The 18,226-nt window shown below is 37.8% G+C and overlaps 2 long non-coding RNA genes across 2 annotated transcripts in view; one reads left to right on the top strand and one right to left on the bottom strand.

Annotated features, from left to right (window-relative positions):
• LINC01828 (long intergenic non-protein coding RNA 1828) overlaps positions 1-18,226 on the bottom strand; it is a 202,799-nt gene that overhangs the window by 80,803 nt on the left and 103,770 nt on the right. The window lies entirely within an intron of this gene.
• LINC01829 (long intergenic non-protein coding RNA 1829) overlaps positions 1-18,226 on the top strand; it is a 91,963-nt gene that overhangs the window by 6,878 nt on the left and 66,859 nt on the right. The window contains exons 2-3 of the long non-coding RNA NR_038844.1: positions 2,879-2,933; positions 5,269-5,326. This is a non-coding gene — a long non-coding RNA (long intergenic non-protein coding RNA 1829). The remainder of the gene's footprint in view (positions 1-2,878; positions 2,934-5,268; positions 5,327-18,226) is intronic.

Raw genomic sequence — 18,226 nt, 5'->3', positions numbered from 1 at the left:
CTCCCTTGCCTCCCCTCACTTATTCTCACTTTTTTGTGGCATGACCTGTGTCATATAGTTTAATGAATGTAATAAAAAATGCAGACAATGGAATGTAATGCTAATACTAAGAAGGTATCTATACTAGTAAATAATTTTACACAAAAGTATATTTTTACAACCTCAGGTTTAGAATTCTACACTGTGTTTTAACTAGTATTCCAGTTTCTGTCTTCTTTTTGTTTTTCCATCTCAAATCCATGTTGAAACAGTCTTTACATTGGTCTTTCTAAAGCATAACTGTATTTATATCCCCTCATATCACAATCTCCCTTTAGGTGATGTCCATTGAGTGAGAGAATAGAGTTTCAGAGTTGGAAGGCTCAAATATAATCATTTCACATATGAGCAAACAAGCTTAGGGATTTTAAGAGATTTGTCCAAAGACACGCGGTTTGTGAACGATAGCTCTGGAATCTTCAGGAGCCCCAGTCCAGCACTTTCTCCACTACATAACTGGTTCTCTTCTAGAGTAGTGCTTCTCAGACTTTAACTGGCATGCAGATGGTCTGAGGATCTTGTGAAAATGTAGAATCTGATTCAGTAGGTCTGGGGTTGGGCAGAAAATCTGCATTTCTAAGAAGGTCCTAGGGCATGCCCATGCTGGTTTGGAGACCACACTGAGTCGCAAGGACCTAAGAACTCTTGCAAATTCTTACACTGGTTTTCAAGGTGCTTTGAAGTGTAGTCCTGTGTCCCGCTGTCCTGTATGAACACTCCAATATAGTTATGCAGAGTACTTCCTCGCTTATTGAATACCTTTCGAGTATTCTGACTTTGACCTTTTTATTTATTCATCCTCCCACCTCTCTCTGCTTCTTTGCAATTGCATGTCTACACTTTCTTTCAATAGCAAAGTTATTTCCCATCTTCTCCATAAAGACTTTCTCATTACCAAACATAAAATTATCTTTGTGTCCTCTGATTATCTCTATTACCCCTTAAAAGCTTAATAAGTCAATAGCTAGTTATCAAATAAAAGAACAAAACACATGTATAAGAGAATAAAATAGCAGCAGTGAATGAAGTGCATTAAGTTGTAGAAGGCAAGAGAAACAAATTCCTGAGCTCTGCAGAAAACCTCAGAATTAATAAAAAAGGTTTCCTCCTTTTCTTTTACTACATCTTGTGCTAAAAATACTTCTGGGTTAATTGCAGAAAATGAAGCTTAGAAGACTGTGAATTGTCATAGGCCAAGGATCATCAAAATTTTTTGTAAAGAACCAGATAGTATATCATCTTGTCAACTGCACGGCTTCTATGGTAACTACTCAACTCTGCCATTATGGTAGGAAAGCAGCCATTGGTAATATGTAAACAAATGGATGTGGTAGTGTTCAATAATACTTTATTTACAACAAGAGGCAGCAGCCAGATTGGCCTGCCTGTAGTAGTTTACCAATTACTATCACAGATGATAACCAAATCTATTTTAAATAAGGAAAGAGAAGGACTTATTGAATCCACAGTTGTTAATTGTAGCTTAACTAACTCTATAATGGGGAGCAAATCTTAAGAATTGGGCCAGGGCAGAGAAGAGATGCACTGGGCAACGCAAGAAATCCCAGAGATTTTTCAATGAAATAATCTTTTATGGAGCCCAATCCAAATCATGTTTATAACACACCCAAACCCAATTTTCAAAATCCTACTACCTTGACATAAAGGTGTGACACATGGGTCATATAATTGGCAGCACCCTGTTAGAAATGCAGAATCTCAGGCCTCATCCTTACACATTACCATTAGTGCAATCTGAATCTCACCAAGATCCTCAGATGATTCTTTTGCACTTTACAGTTTGAAATCCCAAAATGAGGTGTGTCAATGATCTGCATCAGAATCCTATGGGAGCTGGGAAAAATGTCAGTTTTGGTCCAATCCCAGACCTACTTAATCAGTGTCACTGGGGATGGTACCCCAAGTTTAATAAATATAAATCCACGTTGGAACTCTAAAACTATTGATTGTGAACTAAAAGATTGACACTAGTTGCTTCCATTCTATCCTTTCTGGCTTCATTTTTTGGCAGCTGTACTTGTTTTGTTAATCTCTTTCCTATTCCATTTTTAAAATTAAATTTTTTTTTACTGATACATAGTATTTATACATATATATGAGGTATATGTGATATTTTATTACATGCGTAGAATATATAATGATAAATTATGGTATTTGGGGTATCCATCACCTCAATATTCATTTCTATGTGTTAGGAACATTTCAAGTCCTCTCTCTTAGGTATTTTGAAATATACAATACATTGTTGTTAACTATAGTGACCCTACTCTGCTGTCACTGTTCCCTTTTCCAGCTCTGAATTATTTGCTTTTCTTAACATAAGAGTAACCTTTATTTTTTCTTAAGTAAGTTTTGGTCAGCATGAATATATGTCCATAAAATGATATGAAGACTATTTTATTACCTTACCAGATGGTACCAAGGTTCCTCTTGTGGAGATGATTAAGTGTGTTTGGGAGAAGCTTTTGATAAGCCACTTGGAGTATAGCAGTCAAAGGCATGCTCAAATAATAACATGGTGATTAAAATGTTTTCTAAAAGTGGGAAGACCTATTAATTAACTACATGACCTTCTGTTTTTGCCTGGGAGTATACAGGTTTGGGGTGGAGGTGAATTGCTTTGGAAACTTGTTCTACGTTTTCTTCCATAAAATGATGGTTCAGTAGAAAAAAAAAATCTCAATTGTATTAAGGAAAACAGGACTTTGGAGTGTGGCAAGTGTCATGTGGTTGTAAGATATGTGATACAAACTATCCTGATTCTCCTGCAACGTCTTCATCAAAGTCTCCACTGCTTACTATGACTGCTTTCTTATAGGGCTCTGCTGGAGTGAGGAAGCTGACTGAGGGAAGAACCAGAAGGCTGCCAAAATGTAAGTCATGGTGGATATGATAGACAAAACGGCCGGAGAATAAGAGGAAAGCTGACATCAAATAAATATCAATACCTGACGAGAAGATTAGGGCCACCCTAATAATGTGTTATTAATTTGCACATTTTAAGAGAGAGTTTACAAATCCCTCTTTGCATCAAAATCATCAGTCCTTGGCCCTATTCCCATATATTCTCATTCAATTGGTCTGGAGTGAGACCCAGACATTCAATACTTTTTCAAGATCAGGCGAATCTGAAAGGTGCAGCCAAGATTAAGAACTAAAGTGGGGAATCTAAAATAATCCAAACAGTGCATGTTACAACTGATAAAGTAGAAAAGTAAGTACAGATACAATTCCTTTCTCTTTTTTGTCTCTTTTCTTTCTTTCATCACACAAATCATTTTTAACTATTGTTCTGATAGTTTTTATTAATAAGCACTCAATAAATGTGCTGCATTCCTAACAAAGATAGAAAAATAACATGAACCTAATCAATTAGTATAGATTTACCTAAAATATTATAATCGATGGCTTCTTGATTATTAAAGAATATTCATAAATAATATAAATTTAGTAGTAATATAAATATATGCACATCTGGCTTGACAGTTAGATGAATATATGTTGGTCTACATTATGTTTAAATAGCCTTTCTTTACCAAGTTAGTAAATTTCTCACAAACCGTTTTTTGAGAGTCATTTTATTTTATTGTAGGTGTTGAGAGCTTGGGATATTTTGAAAGAAATAGTACATTTAAAATGTAGACATTTATTCAATGAATATTCTTAAACTGCTCTGTAATAACTCAACATGGTAAAGGCTACAGAGAAATGGGAAGGAAATTCAGGTGAGGTTGAGAAGACCAAAGGTAAGCTGTATAAAGAAAAAAATCATTGGTAATAAAGAATTCATTATAAAGAATTCATTAATAGATTGACTCATGGAAATCAGCACTGAGTCAGCAAATCTGCAGCTAGGATTGACTGACTGCTATGCCAAGGGGTTGGGCTGAGAATAGTAGGGGGGGTACTAAGTTGGATACTCCAGAAAATCTCTCCTCATAGCTCTTCTAGCATTGGAGAGAAAATCAGAAAAATAATCTAAGGCCTTAATTTAGTACAATACTACTAGCTGGTTATTCGAAACATCCCAAATGGTCAAAGAGTTTACAACAAGCGTCTTTACATAGCTATGTTTTTAGTGCTATAGTTGTTTACTTGAGAAAAGTCTTCCTAATATTCTGATTGTGTCTATACTGACATAATGGCATTGGTTTATTGAACCCATCTCTTTACATTGATAGCCTTTAATAGAAAAACATATATCTATGTATATATTCACCAAAGATTAATACAGTGTATTGTAACCAGTCCCATTAGAACAGATAACTATGCTCAAAAAATTTCAAGAAAGCGATTTATTTATTTTAACAGTTTCATAACAGTTTCATTGAAATATAATTGACATTCACTAAACTGTATGTATTTAAAGTGTGCAATTTGGTTTTTGACATGATATACACCCATGAAACTAACTGCAATCAAGATAACAAACATATTCATCATTCCCAAGAGTTTCCTCATGCTCCTTTATAGCCACTCTTGCACTCCACTGCCCTGAAGAAATCTCTGCACTGTTTTCTGCCATCACAGATATCAGTTTTTGTCTAACTAAGATACATCTTTGTTATTGCATGGATCAATCATTCATTCTTTTCTCATTCTGAGTAGTATTTCATTAGATGTACAATAATTTGTTTATCTGTTCCCTTGTTAAGAAGGAACATTTTGGCTTTTTATTTTTGGTGATTGCCGATAAAGCTACTATGAATATTTGTGTCAAAGTCTTTGTATGGACGCCTGCTCTCATTTCTTGGGTTAATGCAGAGGAGTGGAATGCTGGATTGCCTAGTAGTTGCATGTTTAACTTTTTAAGAAAGTGCAGAACTATTTTCCAAAAATGTTGTAGCATCTTACTCTTGCGCTCCACTCCCCTGCAGAAATCTCGGCACTGTTGGTAAAATGTAGCGCACCACTTGCCGTGTTTGAGAGTTTGTTTCTCCACATCCTCAACAATATTTCATATGGTCAGTGTTTTTAATGTTGGCCATTATAATAAGTGTATATATATATATATATTAGTGGAACTTCAGGTGAATGATTTTAAAGACTTCCTTGCTAGGAAATAGGAAAATATGAAAATGCATTCAGTCCTCTTTTTCTTTCTGCACTGTCTTAGATATTTCAGGTTCAGTGTCTATTCCAAAACCCTTCTCTCTGCTCTGCCATGGCCAAAAGAGTTCATTCACCTTTCCCCTTTGACTCTTGCAGACAATTGTGTGCCTTTAAAGGAAATAACAACAAGAATTAGGAGCGCCCTGGAGGCAAGGTAAAATTTGGCCTGTGTAATCAATCATATCTGCTTCACTGAACCATAATGACTCTGTGTACAGGAAGCCATCTTCAGTGGGGCAGACTTGTTTCTATGAAATCCTTAATATTTTGTGGGAGAGAAAGTGGTTTTATATTTAGCTTTTAACATGCTCAGTCATAACTACTTTTCTTGGGCATAAGTGAGTTGTATTGGTGTGCAGTTATGGTAATATGTCAAAAAAATACAGATAAGTACGTCAGTAGAACAGCTGGCCTATTTTAAAAATAGTGTCTTTAATAATTCAAGCTAAGAAATAGGATCAATTGTGTAATATCCAACATCACAATAACCATTTACAAATAGTGAATTGTGGCGGCTCCCCTCGGTTTCCTCCAGAATTATTTCCCTCAAATCAAGTAAAGTCAAAGATTTGGAGATAGATATATGACCTTGAGGAACAATTTCCAGGAAACACAAAACAAACAATATACTAGTGTCCGCAACTAGAGAAAAAAGCTGTAATGCTGTAAGGAGTCACCAAACTACAATGGTAGCCAATAAAAGTATTACAAATGCCAAGCAGGTGAAGCTTTGTAGCGGAAGTCACTTTATCATCTAGTTCTTTAGTTTCTGTTTTCATTGAAGTTCAGACATGCAGCAAGTATTTTATTTAACTACTGAGGGGGTGATATTAAGTCTGTATAATATGTGACTTTCTTTGCACACATTTCCCATAAGTCATTCCAAACTACTTTCATACAACATAAAGGAGAAATTGGGAAAATCTTCAGTCAACCACCACCCCTTAGAAAATGATCCCTGAATTAGAATGTCCATGTTATATACTGAACATTATGACCTCTAAGAGGAAATATATGAGTATCTAATCTTGAGGAAGATTATGGTCTTGATGATGAAACTGATGAGGATGAAGAAGTTATTGATGATGATGACAATACTACTACTAATGATCATGGCACCTAACATTTTCAGGGTGCCTTCTCTGGGCCAGCTTTGCATACATTATCTCATTTAATCTATGCAATGCCCTGTCAGATTGGTCATATTATTATCTCCCTTTTACAGGAAAGTTCAGTGAAATAAATTACATAGGCAATATAGCACTTTGTAAGCTCTCTCCATTTTAGTCTTGTCTCTCTGTTACCACAAAAATTAATGGGACTTAGTTCCAATAATTGTTATTAGCAGAAAAATTGGAGGACAGACAGTGTGCAATTTGGTTGGAGAAAGAGCTCGATAGCTCTTCACCTGGATAACAATCAGTTAATGGATGTAGATATCAGGAATAAGGGAGAAAGCTCTTCAAGCAGCAGATCATTATGCAGCAGCTCAGCATGTTTATTAATCATTGTGCACAATTAAAATGCCATTTCATCCCTCTAATTAAAACAAGTAGTTCCCTGAGGCTAGCACCTGAACTAATGAAGCCTGGTTGCCTAAGGATCTCACTCAGGGAAGGGAATTAAACAATGGAGGAAGCAGTATGTTTACCAGCTTGCCCAGACAACGTCAAACTGTATATGACATCATGAGCGAGTGGACCAGTTGAGACTGTAATTTTAAAGAGCCAGAGATGCTTCTTTTTCTGAGTAAAAGCTGGATTTCAATATTGAAAATTTTCTAAGTTTGTAATTGTTTGGTATCAATATACCTGAATTAGAATGTCCATGTTATATAGTGAAAATCATGACCTCTAAGAGGACGAGTATGAGTATCTAATCTTAAGCAAGCTGAAAATGTTAGGTGCCATGATCATTAGTAACAGTATTGTCATCATCATCATCATCAATAACTTGTTCGCCCTCATCATCAAGACCAATTGTATTGGTTGGTATATTGATACAGACCAATTGTATTGGTTGGTATATTGATACCAACCAATTGTATACTTTACAATAAATTCTAAATTTTCTTTCTTCTTGGTATGTGGAATGGGGATTTTGAGGGATTCTCTATTGGCATCTAGGTATTTGGGAGGCTGAAGGGATTTTTGAAATTGGTTGACTCTAGAAATAAAAGGGTATAGATAGGTTATGGAGACACAATTTAAAATAGAGGGTAGATAAATGGGCTAGATGAAAGAATACGTAGGATTCAATCCCAGTATTGCCACTTGAACTGAATGACCCTGAACAAAGTCCTTAGAAAATAGGAGGACTGAACTAGGTAATCATCAAGTTTTCTTCTAGTTCCAAAATTCTATGGTTTTGTGGTAATAAGAGATTTCATTGTATCCCAATTCCCTTGCAAGTTTGGCTGAATCAAGTCTTGCTTATTCTTTCCTTCTAATTCCTGTTCAGCTCACCAGCATATCTTTAGTGTTTGATATTATACTTGGCATATAGAAGTCACTCAGTTAAATATACATGGAAAATATCAATCAGGTTAAACCTATAGATCTCAGTAATACACAGGTTTCAGTGCCTTGCTTCAAATATTTAGGAGCAACCCTACATATGATTCTGCATTATTTACCTGAGAAGTGGCAAACCTGAGGGTTATGAAAGCTGCTTTCATTTCAGCCCATCTGTGAACTCAGTTTTGTACAATTCTGTACTTGAAAGCTATGGTCTAATGTTGCCTCCACTTGTACTAGGCAAGAAGCCATGGCTCATTCTTCCCCTTTTCTACCTGTCATCCCTTTAGTCCCCTTGATTCCCTGATATCACAGAAAAATAGTCATGCCTAGAAGTTTGAGGAACTTAGGAGCATTGGTTTTGTTTTGTTTTTTGTTGTTGTTTTTTTTTTGGAGACGGAGTCTTACACTGTGGCCCAGGCTGGAGTGCAGTGGCATGATCTCGGCTCACTGCAATCTCCACCTCCCATGTTCAAGCAATTCTCCTGCCTCAGCCTCCCAAGTAGCTGGGACTACAGGCACACACCACCACACCCAGCTCATTTTTTGTATTTTAGTAGAGACGGGGTTTTACTGTATTGCCCAGGCTGGTCTTGAAGTGCTGAGCTTGGGCAATCCACCTGCCTCGGCCTCCCAAAGTGCTAGGATTACAGGCATGAGCCACTGAGCTCAGCTGGAGCACTGGTTCTTAACTTATTTTTTTATGGGTCACAGAGTTTCATGAAAATCTGATAAATTTCATGAAATCTTTCCTCAGAAAAATGTGTAGCATGATTTTGCAAACAACTGTGGGTTAGAAGCTCATCTGTGGAGCTCAGATTAAGTTAAGAACTCTTATTTTAAAGGGTTATGTAAGAATTTCCAACAGTCCTTTAGGAGGCCTATGTTTCTCCCCGCTTCTTACCTCCCTCCAGCATGTAAAGAAAGATGGCCAGCTAATAGAAGAGTAGGGTTTTTTTTTTTTTTTTTTTTTTTGGTAGAGACAGAACTAGTAGCACGTGCATGTCAATGGCAAGTCATTCTTTATAGTGTTGCCAGTAGGCTCCAGAATAAGGTATAATGATTTCAGTTATTTCCCCTTCTCCCTTCTTTCTTTATAACCAGGCATCTGGCTTTGACATATTTATTTTAAACAAGTGAAAAGACAACAATGAGGTGGTAATAATCACACTAGTAAAAAATAGGCCAAGTATAGAAAAATATTAGGGTCTTCATTTTCTCACACTGTTCATCCTATTCTTCGGGCAAGGAATATGTTGGTAACTGGAAATTACAAGCTCAAGTTATCCGATTTATGAATCTAAGAATTTATTCTTTCTGTTTTGGGGCCATTGTTCATATGTTGAACCTAAATCTTTCTTTCCAAACTGAAGCTCAGTTTCTCTTGTATATCATAGTACGAAATGGAACTTGGTCAATAAGACATCCAGAAACTAGCAGAAATCAGCCAATAACTCAGATTAAGTGGCATGATAATTGGGTTTCCTAAGCATTTTTTGGTATTAAAACAAGTTAATCAACCATAAAACACAAACTCTTCGGAATCCAAGGTCTTATTCAATTAACTTCTGGCCTGAAACACTTAAGTGTTTTTTCTTTCTTTCTTTCAAATCATTATGTCATATTTTGCCAAGAGAGAAAGGATTGTCTGGAGTGAGAAATTCCAAAGATGGAATAAGAGCCAATCCTTTTAAACTGTATCATTTTATCCATGATTATTATTTTTAGTAAAAATAAAAACAAAAGTTTTCTTCTTGCCCAGAAAGGAGATGAAATCTTAAACTTACAAGTTGAAACAGAAGGACTGAAGTTTTATACTTTTTTGTTTGAAGTGACCCTTGTATTGTTATTGTTATATTTACTCAAAACATTGGATAAACTAGAAATTTGGGAGGCAAAATAACTATTAATATAATACCATCAACACATGATTTTCTTCCTAGATGCTTTAAGTTGATTTACAACTGCTTAAAATCTTTTCTTGGTATGAAGGTCATAAATTAATGGTTAAAATAGGCAAGTGTAAACCTTTACTAGTCCTCAAATCACAGCTTTAGCTTAAGCTTTCCTGGATGTGAGCCTATAAGTAAGTTGCCAAACTACTGTGGTAAAGAGAGAAAAGGAGGCTTTTTCCCCCTTTTTGTCAGACAAAACTGGGTTAAAATCCCATATACCATATATTTAGCTATCTGACTCTGGGTAAATTATTTAATCTCTATGAGCCATGGTTTTCAGCTGTAAAGCAGTAGGAAAAACATTCTTCTGATAAGGTTCATGGTAGGCACGCTGGTTTAAAAAATAAGTTATTTCCCTATTCCTTGAATTGTTATTACACCTGGATGGTGTCACTATGACTACAAAGGTAGCAGAAAAAATGCAATGACTCTATGAGATAGTTACAAGATCAGGAAAGGCAGTGGGTCAAAATTTTGGTAGACAACTCGAGAGTTAGGACATAGTACAATCTGCATTGCTTAACAATGAGGCTATGTTTAGTCAATTTTGATGTTGTACAAACATCATAGTGTATACTTACTGTATACTTACAGAAACCTAGATTGTATAACCTCCTACACACCTAGGCATATAGCCTGTTGCTCCTAGGCTACAAAGCTGTAAAACATGTTCCTATACTGAATACTGTAGGCAATTGTAGCACAATGGTAAGTATTTGTGTATCTAAACATAGAAAAAGTAATGCATTGCATGGGGACTCTATGACGGCTATGACATCATTAGGCAAAAGGAATTTTTCAGCTTCATTATAATCTTACGAAACCATTATTGTATATGAGGTTCATTGTTGACCAAAACACCATTATGTGGGGCATGACTATAACTGGCTTCCAGATGTGAGAATGGGCCACTGGGCAAGAATACTCTTTGGTGTCTATGGTCAGGTTGACAACGAGAAATCTAGGGGGTTGAGTATGGTTGGTTAAGTCTCAGAGCATAATGTGGCCAGCCAGGGAAGGAATAAAGGAGTCAAACATTCATTCATTCATTTACTCAAAACTAAATACTGAGAACCTGCACTATTTCTGGTAGTGGAGTAGTTTATTGTCTAGCTGGGGAGAGAGAAAACATACACACATAAATTATAATGCACTATGATAAGTGTTAGAGATATTAACAAAGTCTTTTGAGAACAGAGAAAACAGAACAATTAACATTTGAGAAGCTGAGAAAGGTTCTTGGCTCACTAAATGTTCATGCAATGAGGGAGGAATATTTAATCTGGGTGTTAAAGGATGAGTAAAAGTTTGCCAAAGGGAAGATGCAGTAAAAGAAAATTGTAGTTTGAGGGAAATAGAATGGATGTAGCTTGAAATTATAATGGTCTGATGTATAAAGGGAATGATGCCAAATTCAATAGACAGTCAAGAAGGTTGGATAAAGAGGGAGGTGAGCTCAGATTGGGAACATTTTTGGAACATTTTTATATGCTGATTCTGCTTATATTGTGTAGGTAAATGGAGAGCTATCAGAGGTTTACTGAAGTGTTGGATGACATGATAAGTTTGGTTTTAAAGGAAGATGACTCCAACAGCAGGTTGAGGATGGGCTATACTGAGAACAATCAAGTCACAGAGATATTAGGAAGCTCACTGATTTAATAAATACTGTAGTCATTTTTGGAGGAGTGAGGAACAATCGCATCAAACACATCTAAAAATATTTTGAATTTTGCCCTATTTCTAGCTTACGAAGTATTCTTATACCCACTACTTCATTTATTCTCTAAATAGTTCTGTGAAGTAAACATTATTATTAGTAGTATTTATATTTTACAGATGAAGACCATGAAAATTAGAGAAAATAAAAGACAACCATCTTCCAGTTACTAAGTGAGATGCTGGGATTAGATTAACTCAGGTATTTGATCTACAAGATCATTGATTTTTTTTCTAACATACAGTTGCTCCGAATCCAATTGAATTTTCCAGTTGAGCATGAAAATTATATTGTTGCAAAAACGCTGCAATAATTTACCTTCTTGAATCAACATACTTGCGTATTTCCCTTCCATTCTGATTCTGGACTTACCCATATGACTTACCTTGTTAAGTGAAGTGGGACAGTAGCAAACATGGCCAAATTGGAGACCTGAAAAGTATCTGTGCATTGGGGCTTGCCCTTTCTTGATACATTTTGGAACCCTCAACCTACCATGTGAAGAATCATGGGCTTGCCTGTTATATAATGAGACATGTGGCCAGATTATCCCTGTTGCTCCACCTGAATTCAAGCCAACCACAAGGCATGTGCATGAGGCTGTTCTAGATCATCCAGCCCTAGGTGAGCCAACCCAGCCCAGAATCACCCAGGTGATGCAGAATTTGTTTATTGTTTTAAGCCATTATGTTTGGGAATTATAATGCAGCAAATACCAATGAATAGTCTGTATTCTGCAAGTGCCTTTTATACCTACAGATATTTGAACAAAACAACAACAAAAATGTATTGGAAATATCCAAAGGTTTTATTTCTACCAGCCTGAGCAGTGATTTTTGAACTTGGCCACATGAGAATTACCTAGACACTTGTTTAAAAACTCAGATTCTTTAGATCACTCTAGACCCCCTAACTCAGTATTTGTGGGGCAAGAGCTTGGAAGGCTATGTTTTAAACAAGTTTCACAGTGATTCTTACATTTACTAAAATTTGAATTTAACTATTCAAAAGATATTATTTTCCTCACCCAAATATTCTTTCATGAATGTCTTTTACTAGTTTGGTAAGTTACCTGGAAATTAACTTTTAAACCATGATTAAAGAATAGTAGGGGGGAGGAGCCAAGATGGCCGAATAGGAACAGCTCCAGGTCTACAGCTCCCAGCGTGAGCGATGCAAGAGACGGGTGATTTCTGCATTTTCAACTGAGGTACCGGGTTCATCTCACTGGGAAGTGCCAGACAGTCGGTGCAGGACAGTGGGTGCAGCGCATCGTGCGTGAGCCGAAGCAGGGCAAGGCATTGCCTCACCCGGGAAGCACAAGGGGTCAGGGAATTCCCTTTCCTAGTCAAAGAAAGTGGTGACAGACAGCACCTGGAAAATCAGGTCACTCCCACCCTAATACTGCGCTTTTCCAACTGGCTTAGAAAATGGCACACCAGGAGATTATATCCTGCACGTGGCTCAGAGGGTCCTATGCCCACAGAGTCTCGCTCATTGCTAACACAGCAGTCCAAGATCAAACTGCAAGGAGGCAGCGAGGCTGGGGGAGGGGCGCCTGCCATTGCCGAGTTAGTTGTTTGATTGATTAGGTAAACAAAGCAGCCGGGAAGCTCGAACTGGGTGGAGCCCACCACAGCTCAAGGAGGCCTGCCTGCCTCTGTAGGCTCCACCTCTGGGGGCAGGGCACAGAAAAACAAAAAGACAGCAGTAACCTCTGCAGACTTAAATGTCCTTCTCTGACAGCTTTGAAGAGAGTAGTGGTTCTCCCAGCATGCAGCTTGAGATCTGAGAACCAGCAGACTACCTCCTCAAGTGGGTCCCTGACCCCTGAGCAGCCTAACTGGGAGGCATCCCCCAGTAGGGGCAGACTGACACCGCACACGGCCAGGTGCTCCTCTGAGACAAAACATCCAGAGGAACAATCAGGCAGCAGCATCTGTGGTTCATCAATATCCACTGTTCTGCAGCCACTGCTGCTGATACCCAGGCAAACAGGGTCTGGAGTGGACCTCTAGAAACTCCAACAGAACTGCAGCTGAGGGTCCTGTCTGTTAGAAGGGAAACTAACAAACAGAAAGGACATCCACACCAAAAACCCATCTGTACGTCACCATCATCAAAGACCAAAGGTAGATAAAACCACAAGATGGGAAAAAAACAGAGCAGAAAAACTGGAAACTCAAAAATCAGAGTGCCTCTCCTCCTCCAAAAGATTGCAGCTCCTCACCAGCAATGGAACAAAGCTGGAGGGAGAATGACTTTGACGAGTTGAGAGAACAAGGCTTCAGACGATCAAACTACTCTGAGCTACAGGAGGAAATTCAAACCAATGGCAAAGAAGTTAAAAGCTTTGAAAAAAAAATTAGATGAATGGATAACTAGAGTAACTCATGCAGAGAAGTCCTTAAAGGACCTGATGGAGCTGAAAACCAAGGCAAGAGAGCTATGTGATGAATGCAGAAGCCTCAGTAGCCGATGCGATCAACTGGAAGAAAGGGTATCAGTGATGGAAGATGAAATGAATGAAATGAAGCAAGAAGAGAAGTTTGGAGAAAAAAGAATAAAAAGAAACGAACAAAGCCTCCAAGAAATATGGGACTATGTGAAATGACCAAATCTACGCCTGATTGGTGTACCTGAAAGTGACAGAGAGAATGGAACCAAGTTGGAAAACACTCTGCAGGATACTATCCAGGAGAACTTCCCCAACCTAGCAAGGCAGGCCAACATTCAAATTCAGGAAATACAGAGAATGCCACAAAGATACTCCTCGAGAAGAGCAACTCCAAGACACATAATTGTCAGATGCACCAAAGTTGAAATGAAGGAAAAAATGTTAAGGGCAGCCAGATAGAAAGGTCGGGTTACCCACAAAGGGAAGCCCATCAGACTAACAGCTGATCTCTCGGCAGAAACTCTACAAGCCAGAAGAGAGTGGGGCCAATATTCAACATTCTTAAAGAAAGGAATTTTCAACCCAGAATCTCATATCCAGCCAAACTAAGCTTCATAAGTGAAGGAGAAATAAAATCCTTTACAGACAAGCAAATGCTGAGAGATTTTGTCACCACCAGGCCTGCCCTAAAAGAGCTCCTGAAGGAAGCACTAAACATGGAAAGGAACAACTGGTACCAGCCGCTGCAAAAACATGCCAAATTGTAAAGACCATCAAGGCTAGGAAGAAACTGCATCAACTAACAAGCAAAATCACCAGCTAACATCATAATGACAGGATCAAATTCACACATAACAATATTAACTTTAAATGTGAATGGACTAAATGCTCCAATTAAAAGACACAGACTGGCAAATTGGATAAAGAGTCAAGACCCATCAGTGTGCTGTATTCAGGAAACCCATCTCACATGCAGAGACAGACATAGGCTCAAAATAAGGGGATGGAGGAAGAGCTACCAAGCAAATGGAAAACAAAAAAAGACAGGGGTTGCAATCCTAGTCTCTGATAAAACAGACTTTAAACCAACAAAGATCAAAAGAGACAAAGAAGGCCATTACATAATGGTAAAGGGATCAATTCAATAAGAAGAACTAACTATCCTAAATATATATGCACCCAATACAGGAGCACCCAGATTCATAAAGCAAGTCCTGAGTGACCTACAAAGAGACTTAGACTCCAACACAATAATAATGGGAGACTTTAACACCCCACTGTCAACATTAGACAGATCAACAAGACAGAAAGTTAGCAAGGATACCCAGGAATTGAACTCAGCCCTGCACCAAGCGGACCTAATAGACATCTACAGAACTCTCCACCCCAAATCAACAGAATATACATTCTTTTCAGCACCACACCTACTCCAAAATTGACCACATAGTTGTTGGAAGTAAAGCACTCCTCAGCAAATGTAAAAGAACAGAAATTATAACAAAGTGTCTCTCAGACCACAGTGCAATCAACTAGAACTCAGGATTAAGAAACTCACCCAAAACTGCTCAACTGCATGGAAACTGAACAACCTGCTCCTGAATGACTACTGGGTAAATAATGAAATGAAAGAAGGAATAAAGATGTTCTTTGAAACCAACGAGAACAAAGCCACAACATACCAGAATCTCTGGGACACATTCAAAGCAGTGTGTAGAGGGAAATTTATAGCACTAAATGCCCACAAGAGAAAGCAGGAAAGATCTAAAACTGACACCCTAACATCACAATTAAAAGAGCTAGAAAAGCAAGAGCAAACACATTCAAAAGCTAGCAGAAAGCAAGAAATAACTAAGATCAGAGCAGAACTAAAGGAAATAGAGACACGAAAACCCTTCAAAAGATTAATGAATCCAGGAGCTGGTTTTTCTAAAAGATCAACAAATTTGATAGACCATTAGCAAGACTAATAAAGAAGAAAAGAGAGAAGAATCAAATAGATGCAATAAAAAATGATAAAGGGGATATCACCACTGATCCCACAGAAATACAAACTACCATCAGAGAATACTATAAACACCTCTATGCAAATAAACTAGAAAATCTAGAAGAAATGGGTAAATTCCTTGACACATACATCCTCCCAAGACTAAATCAGGAAGAAGTTGAATCTCTGAATACACCAATAACAGGCTCTGAAATTGAGGCAATAATTAATAGCTTACCAACCAAAGAAAGTCCAGGACCAGATGGATTCACAGCCGAATTCTACCAGAGGTACAAGGAGGAGCTGGTACCATTCCTTCTGAAACTATTCCAATCAATAGAAAAAGAGGGAATCCTCCCTAACTCATTTTATGAGGCCAGCATCATCCTGATACCAAAGCCTGGCAGAGACACAACCAAACCAAAAAAGAGAATTTTAGACCAATATCCTTGATGAACATCAATGCAAAAACCCTCAATAAAATACTGGCAAACCGAATCCAGCAGCACATCAAAAAGCTTATCCACCATGATCAAGTGGGCTTCATCCCTGGGATGCAAGGCTGGTTCAACATACACAAATCAATAAACGTAATCCAGCATATATACAGAACCAAAGACAAAAACCACATGATTATCTCAATGGATGCAGAAAAGGCCTTTGACAAAATTCAACAACCCTTCCTGCTACAAACTCTCAATAAATTAGGTATTGATGGAACGTATCTCAAAATAATAAGAGCTATCTATGACAAACCCACAGCCAATATCATACTGAATGGGCAAAAACTGGAAGCATTCCCTTTCAAAACAGGCACAAGACAGGGATACCCTCTCTCACCACTCCTATTCAACATAGTGTTGGAAGTTCTGGCCAGGGCAATCAGGCAGGAGAAGGAAATATAGGGCATTCAATTAGGAAAAGAGAAAGTCAAATTGTCCCTGTTTGCAGATGACATGATTATATATCTAGAAAACCCCATCGTCTCAGCCCAAAATCTCCTCAAGCTGATAAGCAACTTCAGCAAAGTCTCAGGATACAAAATCAATGTACAAAAATCACAAGCATTCTTATACACCAATAACAGACAAACAGCCAAATCATGAGTGAACTCCCATTCACAATTGCTTCAAAGAGGATAAAATACCTAGGAAGCCAACTTACAAGGGATGTGAAGGACCTCTTCAAGGAGAACTACAAACCACTGCTCAATGAAAGAAAAGAGGATACAAACAAATGGAAGAACATTCCATGTTCATGGGTAGGAAGAATCAATATCATGAAAATGGCCATACTGCCCAATGTAATTTATAGATTCAATGGCATCCCCATCAAGCTACCAATGACTTTCTTCACAGAACTGGAAAAAACTACTTCAAAGTTCATATGGAACCAAAAAAGAGCCTGCATCACCAAGTCAATCCTAAGCCAAAAGAACAAAGCTGGAGGCATCATGCTACCTGACTTCAAACTATACTACAAGGCTACAGTAACCAAAACAGCATGGTACTGGTACCAAAACAGAGATATAGACCAATGGAACAGAACAGAGCCCTCAGAAATAATGCCGCTTATCTACAACTATCTGATCTTTGACAAACATGACAAAAACAAGCAATGGGGAAAGGATTCCCTATTTAATAAATGGTGCTGGGAAAACTGGCTAGCCATATGTAGAAAGCTGAAACTGGATCCCTTCCTTACACCTTATACAAAAATTAATTCAAGATGGATTAAAGACTTAAATGTTAGACCTAAAACCATAAAAATCCTAGAAGAAAACCTAGGCATTACCATTCAGGACATAGGCATGGGCAAGGACTTCATGTCTAAAACACCAAAAGCAATGGCAACAAAAGCCAAAACTGACAAATGGGATCTCATTAAACTAAAGAGCTTCTGCACAGCAAAAGAAACTACCATCAGAGTGAACAGGCAACCTACAGAATGGGAGAAAATTTTTGCAACCTACTCATCTGACAAAGGGCTAATATCCAGAATCTACAATGAACTCAAACAAATTTACAAGAAAAAAAAAACAACCCCATCAAAAAGTGGGCGAAGGATATGAACAGACACTTCTCAAAAGAAGACATTTATGCAGCCAAAAAACACGTGAAAAAATGCTCATCATCACTGCCCATCTGAGAAATGCAAATCAAAATCACAATGAGATACCATCTCACACCAGTTAGAATGGTGATCATTAAAATGTCAGGAAACAACAGGTGCTGGAGAGGATGTGGAGAAATAGGAACACTTTTACACTGTTGGTGGGACTGTAAACTAGTTCAACCATTATGGAAGTCATTGTGGTGATTCATCAGGGATCTAGAACTAGAAATACCATTTGACCCACCCATCCCATTACTGGGTGTATACCCAAAGGATTATAAATCATGCTGCTATAAAGACACATGCACATGATTGTTTATTGCAGTACTATTCACAATAGCAAAGACTTGGAACCAACCTAAATGT

The sequence above is a fragment of the Homo sapiens genome, chromosome 2 (genome assembly GCF_000001405.40).
Source record: "Homo sapiens chromosome 2, GRCh38.p14 Primary Assembly".
Lineage (NCBI taxonomy): Eukaryota > Metazoa > Chordata > Mammalia > Primates > Hominidae > Homo > Homo sapiens.
This window is presented reverse-complemented; position numbering and strand designations above follow the sequence as displayed.